Below are 27,039 nucleotides of genomic sequence, written 5' to 3' on the forward strand. Positions count from 1 at the left end.
ACAAGCCCCTTTCCAAACGGCCCTAATTCCCAAACGCTGCTTCCCACCCGACCTCTCTCCTCCACCACACTCCCCAAGGCCGGCCGCCTTTCCCTTCCGCCTCAGGCGCCCCACGCCCTCAATCTCCCCTCTCCCTCCCGGTTACCCACCCTCCAGGCTGCCCGTCGCGGGCCTCCCAGGCAGCTCGCCCAGACCCCTCCCCCCTCACCTCTCCTCAGCGCCTCCTCGTAGCTGAGGAATCCGATCCGTGACTCCTTGGCACCCATGCTCCCCTCATCCCCTCGGCGGGGGGTCGGAGCCTGATCTCGCCCCCACCCCCCTCCCGCCTTCTCCTCGGCGTCCCTGGGTGACGGTGACGGTGTCGGCGTCCCCCGCCCCCACCTCCCCCCACACTAACAAGTGCGGCTTCTGCCCCGGCGGCTCCTCCCGGTCGCCGCCACCGCCTCCATGCCGGATCACGTGACTCTTCCGCCCCGCCCCCTTCCCCTGCCTCCTACTCCGCCCTTCTCTCTCCTCTCTCTCCTCCCTCTCCTTCCCTCCTCACGCCCTCTTGCCACTTCCGCCCCCTCCCGCCAGCTCCGCCGAGGGTCACGGGACCCGAGGCCAGACACTGTTCCCGGTAACGGCCGCCCAGGGCCGCACGCTCCGCCCCTCCCCAAGCTAACCGCGCGCAGGAGCGCCGGGGAGGGGGACGCATCTCCGCACGTAACGCATCGTCCCATCTTCCCGCCAATCGCAGCCGCGCGCCCCGCCCGGGCGCCTCCGCTGGCGACGGGGGGTGGTGACTTCCGGGGCGCTTGAGGACGACCCCCCCCGCCCCCGCGCCCACATGTTCTGGCGTTCGGCGGGTGGGGTCCGAGCAGCTGACGGTTAGTGTGGCAGTTGCCGGGACCTAACATGGAAGACCGCAGAATCTTAGGGAATGGGGTTCTGAGGGATGCGGCATATGGCTCAGAAGAGAAAGGAGTGGGTAGGCAGGGAGCTCCCAACCTTAGGGACGTCTTTGACTGGGAGGGCGTTGTGAAAGGAAAGGAGAATCTCAAGGCTTTCCTGTGACAAAAGAATGCTCACACCTAGCGGGAGATCCCTGAGGAAAGTGGACCTTGTTAACGAAGTGGATCTGCCTTTTCGGGTCATCTCGCCTGCCCGGCCCACCTTCTCCTCCTGACCATGCCTCTTGTACACATTCTCTGGAAAGCGCTGTGCAAAAGGCTTATCCTCTCTCCCAGAGTTTCTCCCCGAGAAACATGAGGGCTACAAGGCTTAGCGTGGAGTCGTTTTAATCTGTGGTAAAATATACGTAACAAAATGTACCATTTTCACAATTTCTAAGTGAGTTCAGTGGCGTTAAGAACATTGATATTGTTTTGCATCCATTGCCACGTCCCATTTCCCACCGTTTTTCATCTTGCAAAAGGGAAACTCTGTGCCTATTAAACGGTAACTCCCCAATCCCCCTCCCACTGGTCCGTGGCAACCGCTGTCCTACTATCAATTTCACTACTCTTAAGTATTTCCTCTGAGTGGAACTCTGCAGACTTTCTCTTTTGTGACTGGCTTATTTCACTTGGCATCGTGCCTTCCAGGTTCATGGTGTGGCAGCATGTGACTGACTCTCCCACTCCACCTCTCCATTTCCCAAAGAATGAAAAGCAGGGATGTGAACAGGTATTTGTGCCCCCGTGTTTATAGCAGCATTATTCACGAGAGCCAAAAGGTGAACACAACCTATAGGAAACCATAAATGGAGAAACCAAATGGGGTGTATATGTACAGTGGAATTATTATTTAGTTCCTTGATTTTCAACTCTTATTTAGTTTGCGTCTTCAACCTAAAAGTCACGGAATAAAGCTTCTGGAAAAGGAAGCAATATTGAAAAAGTAACCATTTGGATTAGATTGGACCCAAGGTGCCGGTTAGGTAATTTAGGGCCAGGGAAAGGTTATTAGTTCCTAAAACCAACAGATTCTAATATACCCTGCTAGAGAAAGAAGGTAATATTCTGTGTTTTTCTTTTTTTTTTTTTTGAGACGGAGTTTCACCCCTGTTGCCCAGGCTGGAGTGCAATGGCGCGATCTCGACTCACCGCAACCTCTGCCTCTCTGGTTCAAGCGACTCTCCTGCCTCAGCCTCCCGAGTAGTTGGGATTACAGGCATGCGCCACCATGCCTGGCTAATTTTGTATTTTCAGTAGAGACAGGGTTTCTCCATGTTGGTCAGGCTGTTCTCGAACTCGCAACCTCAGATGATCCGCCCGCCTCAGCCTCCCAGAGTGCTGGGATTACAGGCGTGAGCCACCGCGCCCCACCAATATTTCGTGTTTTTCTACTCACCTTTCCTGGCAAACCAGATCAGCAGCGTGGCATTAGTCACAGCGCTGCCCTTTCCAGTTCACTGTGAGGTGGTTAATTTTAAGACCTCAGATTAGCTGCATTACTGAAAGGCCATGAATCAGGGGGTTGGGAATACATTTCAAAGCCTTTAATTTCCAGGTCATTAGTTCGGTATAGAGAGACATCAGGCAAAACACCTCAGTCATCTTCAGCCTGCAGAGTGCGAGTTCCGAGTTAGATTATCGTAATTAATGGGAAGTGAATTTTATGAAAGGGCCCAGCTGTGAGGGAGAAAAACCCTCAAGAGTTCAATTGCAACATATACTACTATTATTACTGTCCTAAACCGTCAGTACCTACAGATGGCCTTGCTATACAAGGGATAGGCTTGGGTATTTATCTACCCACTTGATTTGCAGTGGAGTTGGGAGCAAATTAATGTATCTCTTTGTGGCACTTGCCCCACTTGAAAGACAGGACTAGAGTTGCAGTTTAGCTGCTTTCATGAGATGGTAAATGATTTACAAAATACTCAGGAATTAATAGAATATGACCGCATGTGTCGTTTTCCAATGGGGTGCATTCTAAGAGATACATTGTTGTGGTGCAAATATCATAGATTACTTACACAAACCTAAATGGTATATCCTGCAGCACACCTAGGCCTATTGCTCCTAGGCTACAAACCTGTATAGCATGTTACTGTACTGAATACTGTAGGTAATTTTTTATTTATTTATTTATTTATTTTTTTGAGACGGAGTCTTGCTCTGTCGCCCAGGCTGGAATGCAGTGGCGCAATCTCGGTTCACTGCAGCCTCTGCCTCCCAGGTTCCAGTGATTCTCCTGCCTCAGCCTCCTGGGTAGCTGGGATTATAGGCGCACACCATCCCGCCCGGCTAATTTTTGTATTTTTAGTAGAGATGGGGTTTCACCATGTTGGCCAGGCTGGTCTCGAACTCCTGACCTGAGGTGATCCACCAACCTCGGCCTCCCAAAGTACTGGGATTAGAGGCACGAGCCACCACGCCTGGGCTACAGTAGGTAATTTTAACAATGGTATTTGTGTATCTAAACATAGAAAAGGTACAGTTTAAAAAGCAGTGTAATCTTACATGACCACCATCATATATGTGGTTCTCCTTTGACTGAAACACGACTGTAGCTCATGACTGTATGAACTTATTGTAAAGTAAGATTTACAGCAGTACTAACATGAACTTTTAAGATTTCCTCTTTAAGTTTCAGGCCTGGCATCCCCTAAGGTCATAAAAATTTCCACTCCATGGATTAAGCACTTCTAAAAATTGTGAGTTGAGATAGCAGATTAAGAAATACTATTTCTCCTTTGTCTGAGTTAAATTAAGCATATTATTGTAGCCAGTGAAGCAGATAGTTGTGTCTGATGGGAATTTTAAGTGTTAAACCCAGATTAAAACCTGCATTTTGGTTTGTATTACACAGTAGCAGGGAGTCAAATGTTAAACATCCCTCTAAAACTTAAAATTGATGCAGTACTTAAGTCTAATAACGTAGAAAGTCTGAAGTCTGCTTGTCATGCTGAAAGGAATTCTATTAATCGTTTAGTTTGTTCAATTTCATTATAATTAACTTAATCCATTGAAGAGTTGGCCAGCCACCTCACTTTTAAGTAGTCAGTTGTACTTAGGAAACCATTGCTTTAACTATAATTACATGCCTGCAAAAGGGTTATCCATATAAAGATTTAAAGCACAGGAGATTGGCATGTAATTTCTACTTCCAGTTGGGCAACAGAAATGACAAGTGTTTTCCCCAGTCTGTACTCACAGAGAAATGACATAAGAATAGGACAGTCATTTTAGTACTTGCCAAAGAACCTTAGGTAAGCTAGAGAGAGGGAGGTCAATACAATAGAAGTGGAAAAGCACCTAATTTATGTATAACTTCATTGCTACAACGTGACACCAACACATTAAGAGAATTGATTTTTCAGTATTATGGACTTGTTACCTTACAGTCAAACAATATGAGGATGTGGTCACGTGTATTGTATTTTTATGTACACTAAAGCACTTGAAGCTTTTTTTTTTTTTTTTTTTTTTTTTTGAGACAGGGTCTTGCTTTGTCACCCAAGCTGGAGTGCAGTAGCACAATCAGAGCTCACTGCAGTCTTTACCTGCCGGACTCAAGCAATCCTCCCACCTCAGCCTCCCAAGTAGCTGGGACTACAGGCATGCGCCACCACACCTGACTAATTTTTTATTTTCTGTAGAGACAGAGTTTCTGTAGAGAGCCCAGGCTGGTCTCGAATTCCTGGGCTCAAGTAATCCGCCTGCCTTAGTCTCCCAAAGTGCTGGGATTATAGGTGTGAGCCACCACGCCTGTCCCGAAGCTATTTTTGTACAAGTAATACATGCTCATTTTCCATCAGTACACAAGTATATAATGTAAAAGATCACTTCCAAAATATTGAAAGAATGACTAAAAATACGTCATTCTCTAATCTGCAGTTAAAGAAATTTCTCCTCTCTGTTGATCATTCTTTTAAAAATGCTGGCTGGTCACAGTAGCTCACACCCGAACTGTAATTCCAGTGCTTTGGGAAGTCAAGACAAGAGTATTGTTGAGGCCAGGAGTTTGAGATAAAGAGTGCCTAAAATTGGCAACATTTCAACAGGAGCCATCTCCTAAGAGTTTAAGACACACAGGATTCCTAAATTAAAACTATGACTAGGAAAGAAAACATTAAGATAACGACCTTTAACTTAGATCTACCTTGGAGGTTCTCTTTTTGTTTTACTACAATCTATGTTTGGCAAACAGACTACTCACTGATTGTGTGAATTAAAGTTTACCCTATGTTATACTCCTGTCTCGCCCTTCTCTACTCCAACTGCAATGAAGTTATATTCGTATCTCCTTCAAATTAATAGTTTACAAAGGTTAGGAGAAGGGTCTTATGGATAGTACCACCAGTGGCTGCTTTTTCTTCCTAAGCTCCTGAAAAAATCAAGTAGCATCCTTTTAGTTCTCCTTGATCTCTTTACTTCTTCCCATGTGGCAGCTGGACTGTACATTTAGGCCAGTCTCTTTCAGCAAAATACAAACTACAAGCTTGAGAATAAGTACACCAGTTGAATTCTAATCAGCAATTAAAATGCATAGAATAATATGGACTCCAACTTTGAACATATAGGATATACCTTACTTCAGTTTCTAGATAATAATAACTTTGTCAAGTCACCTAAGTCCAGCTTATCACCTTAATATGCTTTCTTAGATATTTGAGAAATACCAGCTCCAGCTGTGTACCTTTGGCTTTGATTTCTTCATCTTGTGGATGAGAGATTTAAACTCAATCAGGCTTTTTCCAGTTGTTGTTGTTGTTTAAGACACAGCGTCTCTCTCTATCACTCAGGCTGGAGTGCAGTGGTGTGATCATAACTCACTGTAACCTCAAACCCTGGGCTCAAGAAATACTCCTGCCTGAGCCTCCAGAGTAGCTGGAACTACAGGTGCACACCACCACACCTGGCTAATTTTTTAATTTTTTATAGAGATGGGGTGTTGTTTTGTTGCCCAGGCTGGTCTCAAACTCCTGGACTCAAGTGATCCTCCCGCCTAGGCCTCCCAAAGTGCTGGGATGAGACACCATGCATAGTCACCCCACTACCTATTAGTACAGTGCTTCCATTCTGTTTTGCACCTTTTGCTGAAATACTGGTCTGCTGTTTTTCCAATTGTCCTCCATTTTGGACCCCAGGCCTCCTTTTGATCAATAACTATTATCCTGATACTCAAAAAAAATTCTGAGACAGAGATGGGCCTGCCTACGTATAGGTATTTAATAGTAATTGTGGTATAATTTGAAAACTCTTTTAAGAGTTTTACAGTGGGAGTGAGGATGGGGTTAATCATTAGAGTCTTAAAAGGACCTAGGAAATGTACCATGTGATTTATGATTCTAGGTTAAGATAAAACTTTTTCACATGGTGGTACTAACCCAACAATTAACATCTTTAAAAGTCCCAATATTTTCTTCCAAATGGATTTGAAAGCTATAAAATAGCATTTAGTTAAAATTGTTTTGGCAGGCCAGGCAGGGTGCTTCGTGCCTGTAATCCAAGCACTTTGGGCAGCCAAGGCAGTAGGATTGCTTGGGCCAAGGAGTTTGAGACCAGCTTGGGCAACATACGGAGACTCTGTCTCTACAAAAATAAAAATTAAATTACTAGCCATCTCAAAAAATCTTAAAAATTAGCTAGGCACAGTGGTGTACCTCTGTAGTCTCAGCTACTCAGGAACCTGAGGTGGGAGGATCACTTGGGCCTGAAAAGTAGAGCTACAGTTACCCATGACTGCGTCACTGCACTCAAGCCTGGGCAACAGAGTGAGACCTTGCCTCAAAAAAAGAAAAAAGAAAAAAAAAGGTGTTTTGGCAACCCTGTTTAGTCACTGGTGTTCTGGCCGGAGGGAAGCAAAGAGAATCAAATCTGGGTTTCTTAGAAAGAGGAAGGAAATTCATGTAAGAAAGAGGAAGTTGGCAAGCCCCTCATGCCTATTTAACATCTTCCCACTACCCTAACAATTGAGTATAAATGTTGCAAATAGTTCATTTTAATATTCATAAAGCACTTTTTGTGTGCTAAATCCTGAGGAATACAAAGATGATTTTTTTTTAAGTTGCTTAGCTAGGTACAGTGGCTGGCTCAGAAATTAAACTCCTGTATGTAATCCTAGCACTTTGGGAGGCTGAGGCAAGAGGATTGATTGAGGTCAGGAGTTCAAGAACAGCCTGGGCAACATTGCAAGACCCTGTCTCTACAAAAAAAAAAAATTTAATTAGCTGGGTGTAGTGGTGTGTGCCTTCGGTCCCAGCTACTTGGGAGGCTAAACTGGGGAGAGCACTTGAATCCAGGAATTTGAGGCTGCAGTGAGCTATGATCATGCCAGTGCACTCCAGCCTGGGTGACAGAGTGAGACTGTCTTTAAAAAATAAAATAATAAAAAGAAAAATCTCTAGAAAGTCCTACAATACAGGATGTTATGGGAACCTAGAGTAGGGAGAGGTATTAGTCCAGATTGAAGGAGTGGGAAGAGGGCAGGAAGCCTAGGGAATGTGAATCTCGAAAGATAAATAAGAAAGCAGACATTCATTTACTCTTAACAAATCCACTGTGCCTACTCTGTGGCAAGCATTGTTCTAGGCGCTGAAGATACAGAATTGAGCAAAGTAAAAGCTCCTGCTCTCATGGAATTTATATTCTAGTAGGAAAAGAGACAAAATAAGTATAATAGTACATCAGTTGTTCTACAGAAAAAAAATGCAGAGGAAGGAGGCAAGAAGTGCTGAGATGAAGATTATAATTTAAAACTAGAATGGGGCTGGGCATGGTGGCTCATACTTGTAATGCCAACACTTTGGGAGGCCAAGGCGGGAGGATTGCTTGAGTCCAGGAGTTTGAGACCAGCCTGGGAAACATAGCAAGAGCCTGTCTCTACAAAAAAATTTAAAAAAAAAAATTTAGCTGGGTGTGGTGGCATGTGCCTGTAGTCCCAGATGCTTGGGAGGCTGAGATGGGAGGATTGCCTGAGCCCAGGAAGTGGAGGCTCCAGTAGGCCATGATCACACCACTGCACTCCAGCCTGGATGACAGAGCAAGACCCTGTCAAAATAAATAAATAAATAAGTAAAAGTAAAATATAAAAATACAAATAGAATGGTCAGAGAGAAGCAAAAAGGGTGATATTTAAGCCAAAATTGGAAGGAGAGAATGAAGCAGACTTTGTGGATATCCAAGGGAAGATTGTCCAAGGAATGAGGCAAGAGCACATCTGCCAGCTCTAAGGGCCAGCAAGGAAGCAAGTGTGCCTGCAACAGTGAGAGAAGGGGATGGGATCAAATCCTCTTTACAGACTTTGGCTCTTGCTCGTAAAATCAGAAGCTGTCACAGGTTTTGGAATGGAGAAGAGATCTGTCATCTTTTTTTTTTGAGATGGAGTCTTGCTCTGTTGTTGACCCTGGAGTGCAGTAGTGTGATCTCGGCTCACTGCAACCTCCACCTCCCAGGTTCAAGCAATTTTCCCATCTCAGCCTCCTGAGTAGCTGGGATTATAGGCATGCGCCACCATGCCTGGCTAATTTTTGTATTTTTAGTAGAAACGGGGTTTCACCACGTTGGCCAGGCTGGTCTTGAACTCCTGACCTCAGGTGATCCACCTGCCTCGGCCTCCAGAAATTCTGAGATTACAGGCGTGAGCCACCAAGCCCAGCCTGTCATCCATTTAAAAAAGATATCTCTGACTGCTGTGTTGAAAGTGGACTGGAGTGAGAGGAGAAGGGACAAAAGGGCAAACACAGGGAGACCAATTAGGGGGCGACTGCATTAATCCAGGCGTGAGGGTTAGGCGGTGAGAGGTTAGATCCCAGATATTATTTTGAAAGAACAGCCAACAGGATTAGATTGGGATGGATGAGAGAATATTTAAAGATGACTCCAAACTTAGTGACCTAAGTAGTTCAGAATTGCTACTCACTGAGATGAGGAATACAACAGGAGAAGGAGATTTGTGGGTCAAGATCAGAAGCAGAGCTTTGGACATATTACATTTGAGATGTCTATTAGACATCCAAGTGGATAGGTTAAATAGAGAGTTAGATATTTAACTCTGAAGTTAGAAAAGGTACAGGCTGGAGACATAGGTTGAGGAGTCATTAGAGATTGATGGTATTGAAAGCTGTAAGACCAAGATGGGTGCAGTGGCTCATGCCTGTAATCCCAGCTATTTGGGATGCTGAGTCGGGGGGATCACTTGTGGCCAGGGGTTTGAGACCAGCCTAGGCAACATTGGTAGACCTAGTCTCTACAAGAAATAAGAGTTTAAAAATTAGCTTGATATGGTGCCACCTGTGATCCCAGCTCTTTGGGATGCTGAGGCAGGAGGATTGCTTGAGCCCAGCAGTTCGAGACCAGCCTGGCCAACATAGCAAAACCCCATCTCTACAAAAAGATTTTAAAAAGCTGGCATGGTGGCATGTGCCTATAGTCCCAGCTACTTAGGAGGCTGTGGTGAGAGGATGGCTTGAACCGGGGAGGTAGAGGTTGCAGTGAGCTGAGATCATGCCACTGCACTCCAACCTGGGTGACAGAAACAGAGCCAGACCCTGTCTAAAAAAAAAAAAAGACCGGGCGCAATGGCTCACACCTGTAATCCCAGCACTTTGGGGGGCCAAGGTGGGCGTGGTGGTGGGCGCCTGTAGTCCCAGCTACTCAGGAGGCTGAGGCAGGAGAATAGCGTGAACCAGGGAGGCGGAGCTTGCAGTGAGCCGAGATCGCGCCACTGCACTCCAGCCTGGGCGACAGAGTGAGACTCCGTCTCAATTAAAAAGAGAAAGAAAGAAAGAATTATAAGCAGTTGACGAATGCTTTCAGGTAGATAGATCTTAGGAGCTTTATTGGTTTTTGTCAGGTTTCTGTTTTACTGTAATTTGGGGGCTATCAATGTGCAATACTTGACAGGAAGTTCTGGGCACCCTCAAAATTTGTTCTAAAAGAATGTGTTTGGTTAAAGTATGATAATCAAGGGTTAAAAGTAGACCTCTGGGGGCTGGGTGCAGTGGCTCACACCTGTAGTTATCCCAGCACTTTGGGAGGCTGAGGCAGGTGGATCACTTGAGGTCAGGAGTTTGAGACCAGCCTGGCCAACATGGTGAAACCCCATCTCTATAAAAAAAAGAAAAAAAAAAAAAGAAAGAAAGTAGATCTCTGCCTATGCATGAACTTCAGCCTGGTTGTCACTCAGAGATTACTGGGGCCCAAACTTTTGTGCACATTTGTAGATAATATTAACAAACAAATCAATTCATGCAAAAATCTAAGGGAGCAGCCAGTAGATACAAAGTTGTTCCCAGAAAACCCATGGAGAAAGGGTTCAAATTTCCCCCACTGAGACAAACTCTCCCCTAACTCTTATAGTAGCTCACACTGTGTGCTAGCCTCATGGGCAACCTTTCTGGAAAAGGGTGCTAACTTATCCCAGATCTTCTAGTTTTTGTCTGAGTGAAATGAAAACAAAGGTGGGCAAAGTGAAATTCTAGTTAATAGGTCACTGTGTGCATGTATTAGCTGCACCCAATTTTGCATTGTACAAGCACTAATATAAGGATCTTTCATTCTAGTGGTTGTCCCTTCAAAAGAGAAAGCCTGGTAGGGGAACAGTATTTTCTCCATCCTCAATATTCCATCCCTCATTTATCTTTTTTTTTTTTTTTTTTTTTTAATACAGAGTCTCACTCTGTTGCCCAGGCTGGAGTGCAGTGGTGCAATCATGGCTCATTGCAGCCTCGACCTCCCAGGCTCAAGTGATTCTCCCACCTCAGCCTCCTGAGTAGCTGGGACCACAGGCACACACCACCACACCTGGCTAATTTGTTTATTTTTTGTAGAGACAGGGCTTCACCACGTTGCCCAGACTGGTCTTGAACTTGGTTCAAGTGATCCTACCTCTTTGGCCTCCCAAAGTGCTGGGATTACAGGCATAAGCCACTGTGCCTGGTCCTTATTGATCAGTTATTCTTCTGAAACGCTAAATTAGTAATCAGAATCACGTTCCAGCACAGTATGCATTACTTTGCTTACATGAGTATACCTGTGCTACTGTGATTCTGGGTTGTCATTGCTTCATAAGAAATTATTCCAAACACTGAGTAGCATAAAACAATGACAACATTTATTTTGCTTATGAAACTGCAATGAGCAAAGCTCAATGGGGAGAGCTAATCTGTACGCCATTTAGTGTCAGCTGCAGTGGCCTGAAAGCTAGGGACTGGAATCCTCTGAAGGCTTTCTCACTCATGTCTGCCAGTTGATGCTTGTTGTCAGCTAAGGCCTTAGCTGGAGTTGTCATAAAAACAGCCCACTGTGCTTCCTCTTTCCTGACAACATTGTGGTTAGGTTCCAAAGGTGAGCATCCTGAAAAGAGGAGGGGAGAGAAGGGGGCTGGTGTAGTGGGCGGGTAAGCCGTATCTCTGTTTTTTTTTTGAGACGGAGTCTCGCTCTGTTGCCAGGCTGGAGTGCAGTGTCACGATCTCGGCTCACTGCAACCTCCACCTCCCGGGTTTAAATGATTCTCCTGCCTCAGCCTCCTGAGTAGCTGGGTCTACAGGCGCGCGCCACCACGCCCAGCTAATTTTTGTATTTTTAGTAGAGACAGGGACAGGGTTTCACCATGTTGGCCAGGATGGTCTTGATCTCTTGACCTCGTGATCTGCCGGCCTCGGCCTCCCAAAGTGCTGGGATTACAGGCATGAGCCACTGCGCCCAGCCAAGCTGTATCTTATGACCTAGCCTCAGATGTAACGCAGTGTCACTTCTGCTGCATTTTAGTCATTGAAGTAGCCACAAAGTTCTGCCCAGGTTTAAGGGGAGGTGAAATAATATCCAGAAATGTTGTCATGCCACAGTCTGCCCTCGGGTTACAATTCAGATTCCTCCCATTTGTAAGATGCATACACCGTTTCTTCTAAAACAGCCTTGAGGTCTAGGATCTCATCATCTAGATCAGGTCCAGGGGGACTAACGCTCCTCAGGTGTGGTTCCTCAAATACAATGCCTTTTGACTTGAACACCTGCTCTTAGTTAGTATACAATGAGTTTATTTAAGGAAAGGGGGTCGTGATGTATTGAACTTACTTTTAAATGCTTCAGGGACAAACTATATATTTTTTCACACATATATATTTGAAGACTATATACATACAGAAACATGGGCCGGGAGCAATGGCTCCCACCTGTAATCCCAGCACTTTGGGAGGCCAAGGCGGGAGTATTGATTGAGCCCAGGAGTTCAAGACCAGTCTGGGTAACATAGTGAGACTCTATGTCTACAAAAAATTAAAAAATTAGCCAGGCAGTTTGGCACACGCCTGTGGGTCCCAGCTACTTGGGCAGCTGAAGTAAGAGGATTGCTTGAGCTTGGGAGTCAAGGCCGCAGTGAGCCGCGATCACACCACTGCACTCCAGCCTGGGTGACAGGGCGAGACCCTGCCTCAAAAAAAAAAAAAAAGGAAAAGAAAAAAAGAAAGAAAAAGAAATATGCGCACACACACATATTTCTGGGGATTACTTCCCATCCCTTGAGCTTGGGCGGAACTGTATGACTGCTTAAATGATGGAATGTAGCAGAAGTGATACTGTTACATTTGAGGCTAGGTTTTAGAGAGAGAGGTGGGGGAGAGGGAGAGAGAATGCAAATAATAAAGCAAATTGAGCAGATGTTAATAGGTGAATCTGAATAAAGGGTATATGCAAGTGTTCTTTGTGCTATTCTTGTGTTTGCAACTTTTCTGTAAGCTTGAAATTATTTCCAAATAAAAAGTTTTTTTTTAATGTGATGCACATGGAAGAGGTCCTGAGCTTTAAATATTTTGATATTTTTAATTCCAGGGCAAATCCCAACTTGATTTTTATACCAAACCTTTAGTTCCTCCTTTGCCCAGATTTCTACAAGAAGACAATCTCGTTTCCTAAAAGAACTAGTTCTAGGAGAAACCGTCTTTGAGAGAGGAGATTTGGCATAATGAGACTCAACTTTTCAATTATCTTTGTATGACCTACTACACTAAAGGCATCTTGAAGCTATGTATGGTTTATAGGGAAATTGTAGAAGAGTGCACCTCAGCCTCCTTGGAACAAAAGAGACTGGGATTAGCTGCCTTGAAGAACCATCATTGTGTTCCCAGAGTTCAAATTCTAAAAATAGTGGCTGCTGAGAAACAACCTTCTCATCTTTCCTGTATGAAAAGGACACTTAAATAGAAGGCTGGTCTTTTTACTTAACAGTGTCACAATCTCCAAACAACCAAGGAGTAATCACTACTAAATGTCCCATTTTAGAAGCTGTTTGGGTGGGTGCGATGACTCCACGCCTGTAATCCCAGCACTTTGGGAGGCCGAGGCAGGCGGATCTCTTGAGGTGAGGAATTGGAGACCAGTCTGGCCAACTTGGTGAAACCCTCGTCTCTACTAAAAATACAAAAATTAGCCGGTATGGTGCTGCACAGCTACTCGGGAGGCTGAAGCACAAGAATTGCCTGAACCAGGGAGGTAGAGGCTGCAGTGACCCACGATCATGCCACTGCACTCCAGCCTAGGCGACAGAGCAAAACTGTTTCAAAAATAAAAAGAACAAAAAATAGAAGCTGTTAGTTTTTTGTTTTTGTTTTTGTTTTTGAGACAGAGTTTCGCTCTGTCACCCAGGCTGGAGTGCAGTGGCTCAATCTCGGCTCACCACAGCTTCCACCTCCTGGGTTCAAGCAACTCTCCTGTCTCAGCCTCCCAAGTAGCTGGGATTACAGGCACACACCTCCAAGCCAACCTAATTTTTTTTGTATTGTAGTAGAGATGGGGTTTCACCGTGTTGCCCAGGCTGGTCTCGAACTCCTGAGCTCAGACAGTCCACCCGCCTCAACCTCCCAAAGTGCTAGGATTACAGGCATGAGCCACTGTGCCTGGCTGAAGCTGTTAGTATTTTTAAAATCATGCGGTTGAATTGCTTGAGCCCAAGAATTCGAGACCAGCATGGGCAACATATCAAAACCCCATCGCTACAAAAATACAAAAATTAGCCAGGCCTAGTGGCATGTTGCCTATAGTCCCAGCTGCTCAAGAGGCTAAGGTGGGAGGATCACCTGAGCCTGGGGAGGTGGAGGCTGCAGTGAATCATGATCACACCACTGCATTCCTGCCTGGGCAACAGAGTGAGATCCTGTCTCAAAACATAAAATAAAATTAAATAAATAAATAAAAGGCACCTCAGGGCCATTTAATAAATTCATCCGTAACCATCGTGCATAGAATTTTATTCTTTCAAAGGTTATTATTTGGCTGGGTGCAGAAGCTCACTCCTGTAATCCAGCACTTTGGGAGGCCAGTGTGGGAGGATTGCTTGAGCCCCAGAGTTGAGACCAGCCTGGGAAACATAGTTAGACGCCACCTCTCCAAAATGTCTTTTTTAAATTTAGCTAGGTGTACTGGTGCACACCTGTATTCTCAGCTACTTGGGAGGCTGAGTTGGGAGGATCACTTGAGTCCAGGAGGTCAAGGCTGCAGAGAGCCGTGATCATACCACTGTACCCCAGCCTGGGTGACAGTGCAAGACCTTGTCTCAAAAAAAAAAAAAAAAAAAAAAGCTTATTATTCTGAAAAAAAAAATTTTTTTTTGGAGACAGTCTTGTTCTTGTCATCCAGGGACCATCTCAGCTCACTGCAACCTCCGCCTCCTGGGTTCAAGCGATTCTCCTGCCTCAGCCTCCCAAATAGCTGGGACTACAGGCCCATGCCACCATGCCCAGCTAATTGTTGTATGTTTAGTAGAGAAAGGGTTTTGCCATGTTGCTCAAGCTGGTCTCAAACTCCTGGCCTCAAGTGATCCACCCTCCTCAGCCTCCTAAAGTGCTGGGATCACAGGCGTGTGCCACTGCACCTGGCCCATTATTCTGAAATTCTACATTGAAGTTCTTCTTTTGCTTTTTTTTCTCTTTTTTGAGACAGAGACTTGCTCTGTCACCCAGGCTGGAGTGCAATGGCATGACCTCGGCTCACTGTAATCTCCACCTCCCAGGTTCAAGCGATTCTCCTGCCTCAGCCTCCTGAGTAGCTGTGATTACAGGCACGCGCCACCACGCCCAGCTAATTTTTGTATTTTTAGTAGAGACAGGGTTTCACCATGTTGATCAAGCTGGTCTTAAACTCCTGACCTCGTGATCCACCTGCCTCAGCCTCCCAAAGTACTGGGATTACAGACATGAGCCACTGCGCCTGGCCTTTCTTTCTTTCTTTCTTTCTTTTTTCAAACTCCATTTTGTAAGGTTGATCAGTTGCTCAAAGACTGACATGCTAATCAAATTTCAGTGAAACAGAGGACTTTTGTTTCTGATCATGATGGAGTTAAAAGGGACCAGATTAACCCTTCTGCCATACACACCTAGGAAGCTAGACAAAACATACAGAACAACCGTTTTCAGATGTTGGACAATTGGCAGTGCAGAACTGACGTCATTGAGATAAAGAAAACAAATGAGGTAAATTCTGTGATTTTCCTAGCTTTTTGCCTAGGGGTGCAATCTGGATCATAAAATCAGAATGTGGCAATCTCACTGAGGACGCACAGATTGGAGTTCATGGAACCTGAGGCAGCTGTGGAAGTTGCTGTGCAAAATTCCAAAAAGGAAGAAGGTATGCAAAAACCTTCAGAAATTTGCATAGGATCTTGAGTTTTTTCTGAATATTAAGGTAGCCATAAGTAGAGCTAAGTTCCAGGAGACTGAGCAAAGAACAATTGAAGAGATGTAACTGAACAATTCCCAGAGCTAGGAAACATACAAATTATGACCAATTGGAGTAGAAATAACTTAGTGACCTCCCAAGATGTTCAGGAGAGACTGCAGCAGAGGTAAACCTTACTAAAAGGTCTAAACTAGGTCTAGAGTAAAGTACACGCTAGAACTGCTTAATGAAGCTTAAAAACTAGCCTCAAAAACATCAAACTAATCCAAAAGTAAGTTAACAATCTGGTACAACAAAGACCTATACTCTTTAAGGGAAGACTACAAAATACAGACATTCAACAATGTGACATCCACATTAGCCAGGTGTGGTGGTCCATGCCTGTAATCCCAGCTACTCAGGAGGCTGAGGCAGAAGAATTGCTTGAACCCAGGAGGCGGAGGTTACAGTGAGCCGAGATTAAGCCACTGTGCTCCAGCCTGGGCGACAGAGCAAGCCTCTGTCTCAAAAAAAAAAAAAAAAAAAAAAAAAGCAGAAACAGGCCGGGTGCAGTGGCTCACGCATGTAATTCCAGCACTTTGGGAGGCCAAGGCAGGCGGATTGCCTGAGGTCAGGAGTTCGAGACCAGCCTGGCCAACATGGTGAAACCTCGTCTCTACTAAAAATATAAAAATCAGCTGGGCGTGGGGGTGAGCGCCTATAGTCCCAGCTACTGGGAAGGCTAAGGCAGGATAATTGCTTGAACCTGGGAGGTGGAGATTGCAGTGAGCTGAGATGTCGCCACTGCACTCCAGCCTGGGGTACAGAGCGAGACTCCATCTCAAAAAGAAAAAGAAAGAAAAAGAAAAACAATGTGACATCCTGAGATCCAATAAAAAATTACTATTTATACCAAGAAGCAGGGGGGAAAAATCAGGTGACAGACATGGACCCAGAAATGACAGAAATTATGGAATTAGCAGATAAGAATGATGAAACAGCTATTATAACTATATTTAAAGAAAAACATGAATATAATGAGGAAAGAAGAAAAAAGAACCAGATGGAACTTCTAGTGGTGAAAAATACAGTATCTGAACTTGTAACCACATCGTATCAATCTGGCTCAACTTTTTTTTTTGAGACAGAGTCTCGCTCTGTCCCCCAGGCTGGAGTGCAGTGGCACGATCTTGGCTCACTGCAAGCTCTGCCTCCCGGGTTCAATCGATTTTCCTGCCTCCGCCTCCCAAGTAGCTGGGATTATAGGTGCATGCCACCATGCCCAGCTAATTTTTGTATTTTTAGTAGAGATGGGGTTTCACCATGTTGGCCAGGCTGGTCTTCAACTCCTGACCTCAAATGATCTGCCCACCTCACCCTCCCAAAGTGCTGGGATTACAGGCATGAGCCACCATGCCCGGCCAATCTGGCTCAACTTTTATATAACAAAGTTGTGAGTTTTCAGTTGCTATGGATTCCCCAGGTTGAAGGTTATGTAACCTGAGCATGCCCAGATGAAGCAAGCATGCAACGATAGGGGGAATCTAAGTGCTCAGACCAAGGAGCAGAGACGGAACTAAGTGGACACCACATAGTTTGATCCAGGATCCAATCAGATCAAACTCTGACATCACCCCATGCCAGGATCCAGTCAGATCATGCCTTCTGGCATCACCTCATTGCAAGATCCAATCAGATAATACCTTGCTACCCTATGCTTATAAAACATGACCCAGACCCCAGCTTGGGGAGACACAGCTGAGCATTTCCTCCTATTTCCTTGCCAGCTGACTCACAGTAAAACTTTTCTCAGCCGGGCACAGTGGCTCATGCCTGTAATCCCAGCACTTTGGGAGGCCGAGGTGCACGGATCACCTGAGGCCAGGACTTCAAGACCACCCTGAGCAACATGGCGAAACCCTGTCTCTACTAAAAATACAAAAATTAGCTGGGCATGGTGGCACATGCCTGTAATCCCCGCTGCTAGAGGGGCTGAGGCAGGAGGATCACTTGAACCTAGGAGGCGGAGGTTGCAGTGAGCCGAAATCATGCCACAGCATTCCAGCCTATGCAACAGAGCGAGACTCCGTCTCAAAAACAAAAACAAAACTTTTCTCAAAAACTAGTGCCACAGTATTGGCCTCTATGCACGTCGGGCAGTGAGCCCATTGATTGCTCAGTAACAAAATGAAAAATTCAACATGGCAGCTGGCTTACCCCAGAGCAAGCAATCAGAGGGAAAAAAAGAGGGTTACCTAATGCATTAGTTTTCTATTGCAGTAAAAAATTACCACAAGCTTAGTGGCTCTGAAACCACCCTTGCAAAAATTACAAGTGAGATAAATCTGACATAGAAAAAGTATGATAGTGAAAAAAAGTCTGACCTAACTGACTCCATTTTGCTTCTAACCTCAAAGCCACCCTTGTTCATTTCCCAGCATAGGCCAAACTAACTATGGGAGGAATTTATAGTTTGAAAGAGGGGTGTCCAATCTTTTGGCTTCCCTGGGTCACATTGGAAGAGGAAGAATTGTCTTGGACCACACATAAAATACACTAACACTAATGATAGCTCATAAGCTTAAAAAAATCACAAAAAAACCCTCAATATTTTAAGAAAGTTTATGAATTTGTGTTGGACCACATTCAAAGCTGTCCTGGATGGTATGCAGCCCATGGGTCAAGGGTTGGACAAGCTTGGTTTAAAACAAAGATGAAAATAGCCCCTTCCCAAAACTAACAATCTCCTTGTTCAGCGACTAAAACTGCCTTTGAAAAACTAACAAACTAGCTACAAAGTTAAAATTATGGTTCAGAAGTCTTGTAGCCAGAGGGCACAAGATTTGTAATCTCCCCAGTTGCTCCTATAGATAACATCACTATTGTAAAATCTAAGATTGATGTTTGAGGTATTTTCCAGACCCTGCATTCTGATGGGCTATCTGGTCTTGTAACCCCCAGCAACACATAGGAAGAAACTGGCTCATCTGGTCTTGTAACCTCCACCCAGAAACTGACTCAGTGCAGGAAGACAGCTTTGACCCCCTATGATTTCATCCCTGACCCAACCAATCAGCATACCCCATTCCCTAGTCTCCTGCCCTCCAAACTATCCTTTAAAAACCCTAGCCTCGGTGGGCGCGGTGGCTCATGCCTGTAATCCCAGCACTTTGGGAGGCTGAGGCGGGCAGATCACAAGGTCAGGAGATTGAGACCATCTTGGCTAACACGGTGAAACCCTGTCTCTACTAAAAATACAAAAAATTAGCTGGGCGTGGTGGCAGGCACCTGTAGTCCCAGCTACTCAGGAGGCTGAGGCAGGAGAATGGTGTGAACCTGGGAGGCGGAGCTTGCAGTGAGCCGAGATTGCACCACTGCACGCCAGCCTGGGCCACAGAGTGAAACACTGTCTCAAAAAATAAATAAAGAAAGAAAGAACTAGAGAAGCAAGAGCAAACAAAAACAAATGCAGTCTATACTATATAATGCTATATAAATCACAAGAGTCAAAAGCACATAACATAGGTTAGAAATAGAAACTGTCGGCTGGGTGCGGTGGCTCACGCCTATAATCTCAGCACTTTGGGAGGCTGAGGTGGGGGGATCACAAGGTCAAGAGATTGAGACCATCCTAGCCAACATGGTGAAGCCCCGTTTCTACTAAAAATACAAAAATTAGCCAGGCATGGTGGCACGTGCCTGTAGTCCCAGCTACTTAGGAGACCAGCCTGGACAACATAATGAGACCTTCACCTCTACAAAAAAAAAAAAGTTTTTAAAGTTAGCCAGCCAGGCCAGGCACGGTGGCTCACACCTGTAATCTCAGCACTTTGGGAGGCCGAGGCAGGCGGATCACCTGAGGTTGGGAGTTCAAGACCAGCCTGACCAACATGGAGAAACCCTGTCTCTGCTAAAAATACAAAATTAGCAGAGCATGGTGCATGCCTGTAATCCCAGCTATTTGGGGGCTGAGGCAGGAGAATCGCTTGAACCCAGGAGGTGGAGGTTGCGGTGAGCCGAGATTGCCCGATTGCACTCCAGCCTGGGCAATAAAAGCAAAACTGTCTCAAAAATAAATAAATAAATAAATAAATAAATAAATAAATAATTAGCCAGCCATGGTGGTGCATGCCTGCAGTCCCAGCTACTCAGGAGGCTGAGGTGGGAGGATCACTTGAGCCCAGGAGTCAAGGCTTCAGTTTGAGCCGTGATTGTACCATTACACTCTAGCCTCGGTGACAAAGTGAGAGTCTGTCACTATTTTTTAAATTTAATTTTAATTTGTATTTATTTATTTGTTTTAGAGAGAGAGGTCTCACTATGTTCCCCTGGCTGGTCTCAAACTAATGGGCTCAAGTGATCCTCCCACCTCAGCCTCCAGAGTAGCTGAGATTACAGGCATGCACCACCATGTACAGCTCCTATTCTACTTTCTGTCTCTATGAATTTGCCTATTTTAGATATTTCATATAAGTGGAATTATATATTTGTTCATTTGTGTCTCGCTTATTTCACTTAGTAGAGTTTTTAAGATTCATTTATGTTGTAGTATATATGAGGATTTCATTCTTTCTGTGGTTGAATAATATTCTATTGCATGCATATACCACATTTTTTTATCCATTCATCTATTGATGGACACTTGGGTTGTTTCCACTTTTTGGCTATTGTGAACAATGCTGCTGTGAACATTGGTATATAAGTATCTGTTTGAGTCCCTGCATTCAATATAATTTAATATTTAATAATGCTTCTGTTTAGCAAACAGCTGGCAAAATTGCAAAAACTTAATAATCAGCTCTGATGAGCCTGTTAGAGCCAGCTCTAGCACAATATCAGAGAATCTGTAATTTACCTGACTGGACCCAACAAGCCCAACTTGGAATTCAAGCTCACCACACCGGTATTTTCCAAATTTGCCCGATGATGATAATTGCCTAGGATATTTATGAAAATACTGATCCCCAAGCCAGGTGTGGTGGCTCATGCCTATAATCCCAGCACTTTGGGAGGCCAAGACAGAGAAGATTGCTTGAGCCCAGGAGTTTGAGACCAGCCTGGGCAACATGGTGAAATCCCATCTCTACAAAAAATACAAAAATTGGCCGGGTATGTGATGTGAACCTGTAGTCCCAGCTACTAGTGGGGAATGGGGGCGGTGGGGCGGGGGAGCAGGTGGCTGAGGCAGGAAGATCACCTGAGTCTGAGAGGTCAAGGCTTCAGTGAGCTATGATTGCACCACTGCACTCCAGCTTGGGTGACAGAGTGATACCCTGTTTCAAAAAAAAAAAAAAAAATAGTGATTTCCAGACCCTCTTGGGACATTCTGATTCTGAAGATCTAAGGCAAGGTGATTTTTCTGTCTGAAAAACTCTAATATTAGTCCCCAGTCTCACCAAATCTGGGCCTGAAGGGAGGGAGTGGGGTACAAATACGGTGCCCTGGAAGAAAGGTGGTGAGAGTGAGTCCTTTGGGGAGAAATTGCTGCAAAATTTGAGATGCATTTTTTTCCTCTCCAAAATCATTCCCAGCTCCAACATTCATTGACATTCATTCAGTTCTCTCCTGCTTATCTCCCTGAATTCTGTCTTAGCAAAGAAAACCTTCCAGAAAGAGCCAAGAGGAAATCATTAGGCCCCAGCAATTTTGACAAGATCACAGACGCTTGCATATCATTAGACTATTTAGAAACACGCTCTAAAGTTCCGAGGTTGCCATTCTGCAGTGTTATTTTGATACCCTGACAAGATATTTTTAGAGCACATGAAGCCCAAATTAAAACATTGCTACAGGAAAAAAAAAGTGAAATCCAACCAGGGGTCTATTAAATGGAAAACTACAGTAAATATCAGATAAGAGTGAAGAAAATAGTACAAAACATTTTTGAAAACTATTTTGGGAGAAGCAGGAGTTGGAGAGATGCTCATGACTTATGTGCAGAGATGTGTTCTGTATCCTGCCAGTGGGGGAGGGAAAGACCTTATCCCTGTGTTATAGAACTGGGGTCCACTCACCTGGCCCAGCAAAAAGAATGCTGATGTCAGGATAGCAGTGAAAGAAAGTGAGGACTTTGTTGCAGGGTGCCAAACAAGGAGAGCTGGCAGCTCATACTTAAGACCTGACCTCCCAGATGGCTTACAGGTAAGGGTTTTTAAAGGCAGGGAGACAGATGTGCTAGGCTAAGTCATAAACCAGTACAGGGAGGCTATATATTATTTTGACTTAAAAAGGAAGGGAGGACAGGTGGATTAAAAAAATTTTGATTTCTAATTGGTTAAGAGGCAAAGCTTTTGTCTAAAACTTTGGGATCAGCAGAAAAGAATGTTACTGGCTGGGCGCAGTGGCTCATGCCTGTAATCCCAGCACTTTGGGAGGCCAAGGTGAGCAGATCACGAGGTCAGGATATTGAGATCATCCTGGCCAACAATAGTGAAACCCTGTCTCTACTAAAAATACAAAAATCAGCTGGGCATGGCAGCGTGTGCCTGTAATCCCAGCTACTTGGGAGGCTAAGGCAGGAGAATCACTTGAACCCAGGAGGCGGAGGTTGCAGTGAGCTGAGATCGCACCGCTGCACTCCAGCCTGGCGACAGCTAGATTCTGTCTCAAAAAAAAAAAAAAGAAAAAAAAAAAAAAAAAAAGAATGTTACCTGTGGTTCATGAGTGTGACCTTCTCCAGGCTCCTCAGGAAGAAATTTTTAAAAAAGAATGGTTGGTTTGGGAACAGTCCTCTGTTCCCCCTTATCTGAGGTCCATGTGCTAGCAGAGTAGGATGTGGGTCCGGGTTTCTGAAAAACAACTCAGGGACACATATTAAGATGTTATCGGCTGGGCGTGGTGGCTCACGCCTATAATCCCAGCGCTTTGGGAGGCCATGGTGGGCAGATCACTTGAGGTCAGGAGTTCGAGACCAGCCTGGCCAACATGGCAAAACCTCATCTCTACTAAAAATACAAAAATTAGCTAGGCATGGTGGCATAAGCCTGTAATCCCAGCTACTCGGGAGGCTGTGGCAGGAGAATTGCTTGAACCTGGGAGGCAGAGGTTGCAGTGAGCTGAGATCATGCCACTGCACTCCAGCTTAGGTGACAGAGCAAGACAAGATGTTATCTTTAGTTTCTATAGGGAATAAAATATCTCCTGACTCTAACTTCCTTGGTGATTGTTTTATTGATTTATTTGTTTATTTTTTGAGACAGAGTCTCGCTCTGTTGCCCAGGCTGGAGTGCAGTGGCATAATCTCGGCTCACTGCAACCTCTGCCTCCCAGGTTCAAGCTATTCTCATGTCTCAGCCTCCTGAGTAGCAGAGATTACAGGCGCCCACCACCAGGCCCGGCTAATTTTTGTATTTTTAGTAGAGACGGGGTTTTGCCATGTTGGTCAGGTTGGCCTCGAACTCCTGACCTCAGGAGATCCACCCGCCTTGGCCTCCAGAAGAGCTGGGATTACAGGCATGAGCCACCACGCCCAGCCAGTTATTGTTTTAAACTACTATTGCCTTCTTGTTCATCAAGTTGCTCATTTACTTCTCCAGGCTAGCTAGGTGCCTGGAATTTCCCTAGAAGGAACACCAGATTTTTATTTTTCTTTTCTTTCTTTCTTTTTTTTTTTTTTAGATGGAGTCTTGCTCTGTTGCCCAGGCTGGAGTGCAGTGGTGCAATCTCAGCTAGCTGCAACCTACGGTCTCCCGGGTTCAAGCAATAATTCTACCTCAGCCTCCTGAGTAGCTGGGATTACAGGAAGAAATTTAAAACAAAGAATGGGTGGTTGGAGTTCAGTCCTCTGTTTATAGTCCTCTATAAAGAAAATAAATTTTTCGTTATTTTCATGCTTGGGGAGGGTGGTATCCAGCAGGTCCCTAAGAAGGGTCCTTGCTTAGTCTCACTTGCAGCCTGTCTTGGAAGGTCCTGATGCCTTGTATTAGCACAAGAGGAGATTCCTATCCACTGGGGAGGGCTGGATGTAGGCTGCTGGCAGGGAAGACACAGGACTTCACTGTACATGGTCAAATATCTTACTGGCCTTCTGTTTACTCCCTGGTTCCTTGGCTTGGGCCTGGAATGTGGTTAATTGGGCTTTAAACCCCCTTGCCTTCTTCCTCTGCCTTTTTGCTCTCAAGAGTAGCCCTGTGTCTGGTGTTTGTCACAGTGTCTCCATTTGAAGGCTTCCATGGGTTAAAGACCCATCTAACTTCCAGAATCACTGCCGAGAAGGTCCACAAGCTTAGGTTAGACTTGTTAGATCCTTAGTTCCTAATATCTTTGGGGCTAGACCTCTTTGATGAGTCTTTGCATACAATTCACTGGATAGCACTTCAAAGGTTTGTTGACTCCCTTAAGCCCATTGGTGGATTAAGACAGTGTCTAGGTAATGATTCGGATCCAGGTGGCCTTGGAGTAGGGACAACTTGGCTTAGCTGGGAGGTGCTGGCATGCTCTTCAGACCCAGCACTCCAGCTATGACAGGGATTTCAATGGCCTTCCTTTTCTTGGAGTCTTTATACAATTCTAATTGGATAATTTGGAGCAAGAACAAAAATCCTCTTTTGGTAATTTTAAGATATGCTTGGTGGTGTTTTTTTTGTTTATTTGTTTGTTTTTTTGAGATTGAGTCTCACTCTGTTGCCCAGGCTGGAGTGCAGTGGCATGATCTCGGCTCACTGCAACCTCTGCCTCCCAGGTTCAAGCAATTCTCCTGCCTCAGCCTCCTGAGTAGCTATGACTACAGGCACGTGCCACCACGCCCAGCTAATTTTTGTATTTTTAGTAGAGACAGGGTTTCAGCATGTTGGCCAGAATGGTCTCGATCTCTTGACCTCATGATCTGCCCGCGTCGGCCTCCCAAAGTGCTGGGATTACAGGTGTGACCCACTGCGCCTGGCTTACTCTTGGGTTTCTTACAAAGAAAAGAGGATAGAGGAGAGTTCTTTAGGGTAATACAAGGATTCTACATCACTGGTCAACCCAGAAAGAGAGATGGGCAGATTTCATATCTATGAGGGAAAGCGTAAGCAGTAGATGCTAAGAGTTATTTTCTATGTATGCTTAATTCAGGACATACAACAAGAATTTCGTGAGTTCCATCACATATACTAGGGGATGGAGGTAAAGCATGATGATTATGAAACAGGCGTATGCCATCAAAGAGCATGCCAACCTGCATAAAGAGGGGGGTGGGCAAATTAACAACCCACAACCCCCTCACCTGCCAGATGCCTAAAGTATATGGCACATATTTGGATTAAAAAAAATGTGGTGGAGGGATGACTTTGTTGAATGACTTGATTTGCCCTATAGAGTCATTTTATGCCGACCAATGGAATTTTGAAGAATGCTCCCAAAGGCAATGGATTTTTGTTTTGTCTTAGTTAATGTTGAGCCATTATTCCTGGCTGCTGTTAGGTTCAATTGTCTCTTCAGGCTACTCCCCATGGTTGATAATAAAACCATTATGAGAATAGGGCAGTCATCCAAAGCCTAGGGCTTGCTGAAAGCTCTGGCAGGGAAAATGGTAGTTTGGGATTAGGGAACAGGAAGGGACAGCTAAGCTTTGAGGTACTAACAGTTATTTCCTCCTTCTGAATTGAACTGGGGATATATATACACACACATGCACACACACACATATATTCATGTATTTATATATGTATGTATATATCCAATTCCTTTTTTTTTTTTTTTGAGACAGAGTCTCAATCTGTCACGCAGGTTGGAGTACAGTGGTGTGATCTCGGCTCACTGCAACCTCCCCCTCTTGGGTTCAAGCCATTCTCCTGCCTCAGCCTCCTAAATAGCTGGGATTACAGGTATGCACCACCACACCCAGTTAATTTTTATATTTTTAGTAGAGACTGGTTTTAACCGTGTTGGCCAGGCTGGTCTCGAACTCCTGACCTCAGGTGATCCACCCACCTCAGCCTCCCAAAGTGCTGGGATTACAGGTGTGAACCACTGTGCCCAGCAAATTTCTTTCTTTCTTTCTTTTTATTTTAACTGTATTTTCTTCCAGTCTTGATCCATATTTGTGTCCACTTATGAAGTGTAGCATACATACCCTTTTATGTTCTGTATTTTTGGTGGGGAGTCTCTCTATGTTGCCCATGCTGGTCTCTAACTCCTAGGCTCAAAAGATCCTCTTGCCTTGGCCTCCCAAAGTGCTGAGAATACAAGCATAAGCCACATGCCCAGCTGATTTTTAATTTTTTTTTTTTTTTTTGTGACAGAGTCTCGCTCTTGTCGCCCAGGCTGGAGTGCAGTGCCATGATCTCGGCTCACTACAACATCTGCCTCCCAGGTTCAAGCGTTTCTCCTGCCTCAGCCTCCTGAGTAGCTGGGATTACAGGTGCCTGCCACCACACCCAGCTAATTTTTGTATTTTTAGTAAAGACAGGATTTCGCCATGTTGGCCAGGCTGGTCTCGAACTCCTGACCTCAAGTGATCCGCCTGCCTCAGCCTCCCAAAGTGTGCTGGGATTACAGGCTTGAGCCATTGTGCCCAGCCTGATTTTTAAAATTTTTATGTATTTATTTATTTTTATTTTTATTTTTATTTTGAGACAGAGTCTTGCTGTGTCGCCCAGGCTGGAGGGCAGTGGCACAATCGAAGCTCACTGCAACCTCTGCCTCCTGGGTTCAAGCGATTCTCCTGCCTCAGCCTCCTGAGTAGCTGGGGCTACAGGCGTCCACCACCACGTCCGGCTAATCTTTTTTTTTTTTTTTTTGAGACGGAGTTTCACTCTTGTTACCCAGGCTGGAGTGCAATGGCACGATCTCGGCTCACCACAACCTCTGCCTCCCAGGTTCAAGCGATTCTCCTGCCTCAGCCTCCCTAGTAGCTGGGATTATAGGCATGTGCTACCACGCCCAGCTAATTTTGTATTTTTAGTAGAGACGGGGTTTCTCCATGTCAGTCAGGCTGGTCTCAAACTCCCGACCTCAGGTGATCTGCCTGCCTCAGCCTCCCAAAGTGCTGGGATTACAGGCGTGAGACCCCTCGCCTGGCTAATTTTTGTATTTTTAGTAGAGACAGCATTTCACCATCTTGGCCAGGCTAGTCTCAAACTCCTGACCTCAGGCAATCCACCCGCTTTGGCCTCCCAAAGTGCTGGGATTACAGGTGTGAGCCACCGTGCCTGGCCTCTGTTTTTTTTTTTTTTTTTTTTACTATTAACTTTTCCTTTTTTGTATTCTACTGCATCTTCTCAGAATTGTGTTCTGTCACCAAAAGCAGTTTCAACAAAAGCAAAAAGTGACTAATGGGATCTAATTAAACTAAAGAGCTTCTGCACAGCAAAATAAATTATCAATAGAGTAAACAGACAACCTACAAAATGGGAGAAAAATTTTGCAAACTATGCATCCTACAAAGGTCTAATATCCAGCATCTGAAAGGAACTTAAATACATTTACAAGAATAAAAACAAACAACCCCATTAAAAAGCCATCAAAGGACATGAAC

General features: G+C 45.0%; 1 protein-coding gene and 1 long non-coding RNA gene across 8 annotated transcripts in view, besides 6 other annotated features; both read right to left on the reverse strand.

Moving 5' to 3' along the window:
• The window catches only part of USP32 (ubiquitin specific peptidase 32), a 245,090-nt gene that overhangs the window by 214,347 nt on the left and 3,704 nt on the right, over positions 1-27,039 (reverse strand). For 2 of the 6 annotated variants that reach the window (NM_032582.4, XM_011525373.2), the window contains exon 1: positions 209-460. The exons of 2 other annotated variants lie outside the window; for them this stretch is intronic. In NM_032582.4, the coding sequence (NP_115971.2) occupies positions 209-266 (58 nt within the window). In that variant the 5' untranslated portion in view covers positions 267-460. Of the gene's footprint in view, positions 1-208; positions 461-665; positions 794-27,039 lie in introns of those variants that run through there. 2 more of the 6 variants (XM_011525376.2, XM_011525374.2) reach the window with 2 other exon arrangements.
• Positions 175-1,016: an enhancer, noted in NCBI's record as "NANOG-H3K27ac-H3K4me1 hESC enhancer chr17:58469209-58470050 (GRCh37/hg19 assembly coordinates)". NCBI's record gives its function as "activates a minimal SCP1, AML or CMV promoter by ChIP-STARR-seq in naive and primed H9 embryonic stem cells {active_cell/tissue: H9 hESC(naive and primed)}" and the evidence as "EXISTENCE:reporter gene assay evidence [ECO:0000049][PMID:30033119]".
• Positions 191-250: a silencer, noted in NCBI's record as "silent region_8788". NCBI's record gives its function as "represses an Ori minimal core promoter by ATAC-STARR-seq in GM12878 lymphoblastoid cells {active_cell/tissue: GM12878}" and the evidence as "EXISTENCE:reporter gene assay evidence [ECO:0000049][PMID:35858748]".
• Positions 281-500: a silencer, noted in NCBI's record as "silent region_8789". NCBI's record gives its function as "represses an Ori minimal core promoter by ATAC-STARR-seq in GM12878 lymphoblastoid cells {active_cell/tissue: GM12878}" and the evidence as "EXISTENCE:reporter gene assay evidence [ECO:0000049][PMID:35858748]".
• Positions 611-930: a silencer, noted in NCBI's record as "silent region_8790". NCBI's record gives its function as "represses an Ori minimal core promoter by ATAC-STARR-seq in GM12878 lymphoblastoid cells {active_cell/tissue: GM12878}" and the evidence as "EXISTENCE:reporter gene assay evidence [ECO:0000049][PMID:35858748]".
• Positions 6,486-6,615: an enhancer, noted in NCBI's record as "active region_12529". NCBI's record gives its function as "activates an Ori minimal core promoter by ATAC-STARR-seq in GM12878 lymphoblastoid cells {active_cell/tissue: GM12878}" and the evidence as "EXISTENCE:reporter gene assay evidence [ECO:0000049][PMID:35858748]".
• Positions 6,716-6,765: an enhancer, noted in NCBI's record as "active region_12530". NCBI's record gives its function as "activates an Ori minimal core promoter by ATAC-STARR-seq in GM12878 lymphoblastoid cells {active_cell/tissue: GM12878}" and the evidence as "EXISTENCE:reporter gene assay evidence [ECO:0000049][PMID:35858748]".
• Positions 11,025-25,732, reverse strand: LOC105371850 (uncharacterized). Of its 2 annotated transcripts, XR_934893.3 has the most exons (3): positions 25,636-25,732; positions 22,232-22,369; positions 11,025-11,288 (listed from the first exon to the last, which is right to left on the reverse strand). It is a non-coding gene; the product is annotated as an uncharacterized LOC105371850 (long non-coding RNA). The 2 variants fall into 2 exon arrangements; XR_007065870.1 differs by lacking the exon at positions 25,636-25,732 and having other exon boundaries at positions 22,232-22,409.

This window comes from Homo sapiens, chromosome 17 (genome assembly GCF_000001405.40).
Source record: "Homo sapiens chromosome 17, GRCh38.p14 Primary Assembly".
In the NCBI taxonomy this organism is placed as follows: domain Eukaryota; kingdom Metazoa; phylum Chordata; class Mammalia; order Primates; family Hominidae; genus Homo; species Homo sapiens.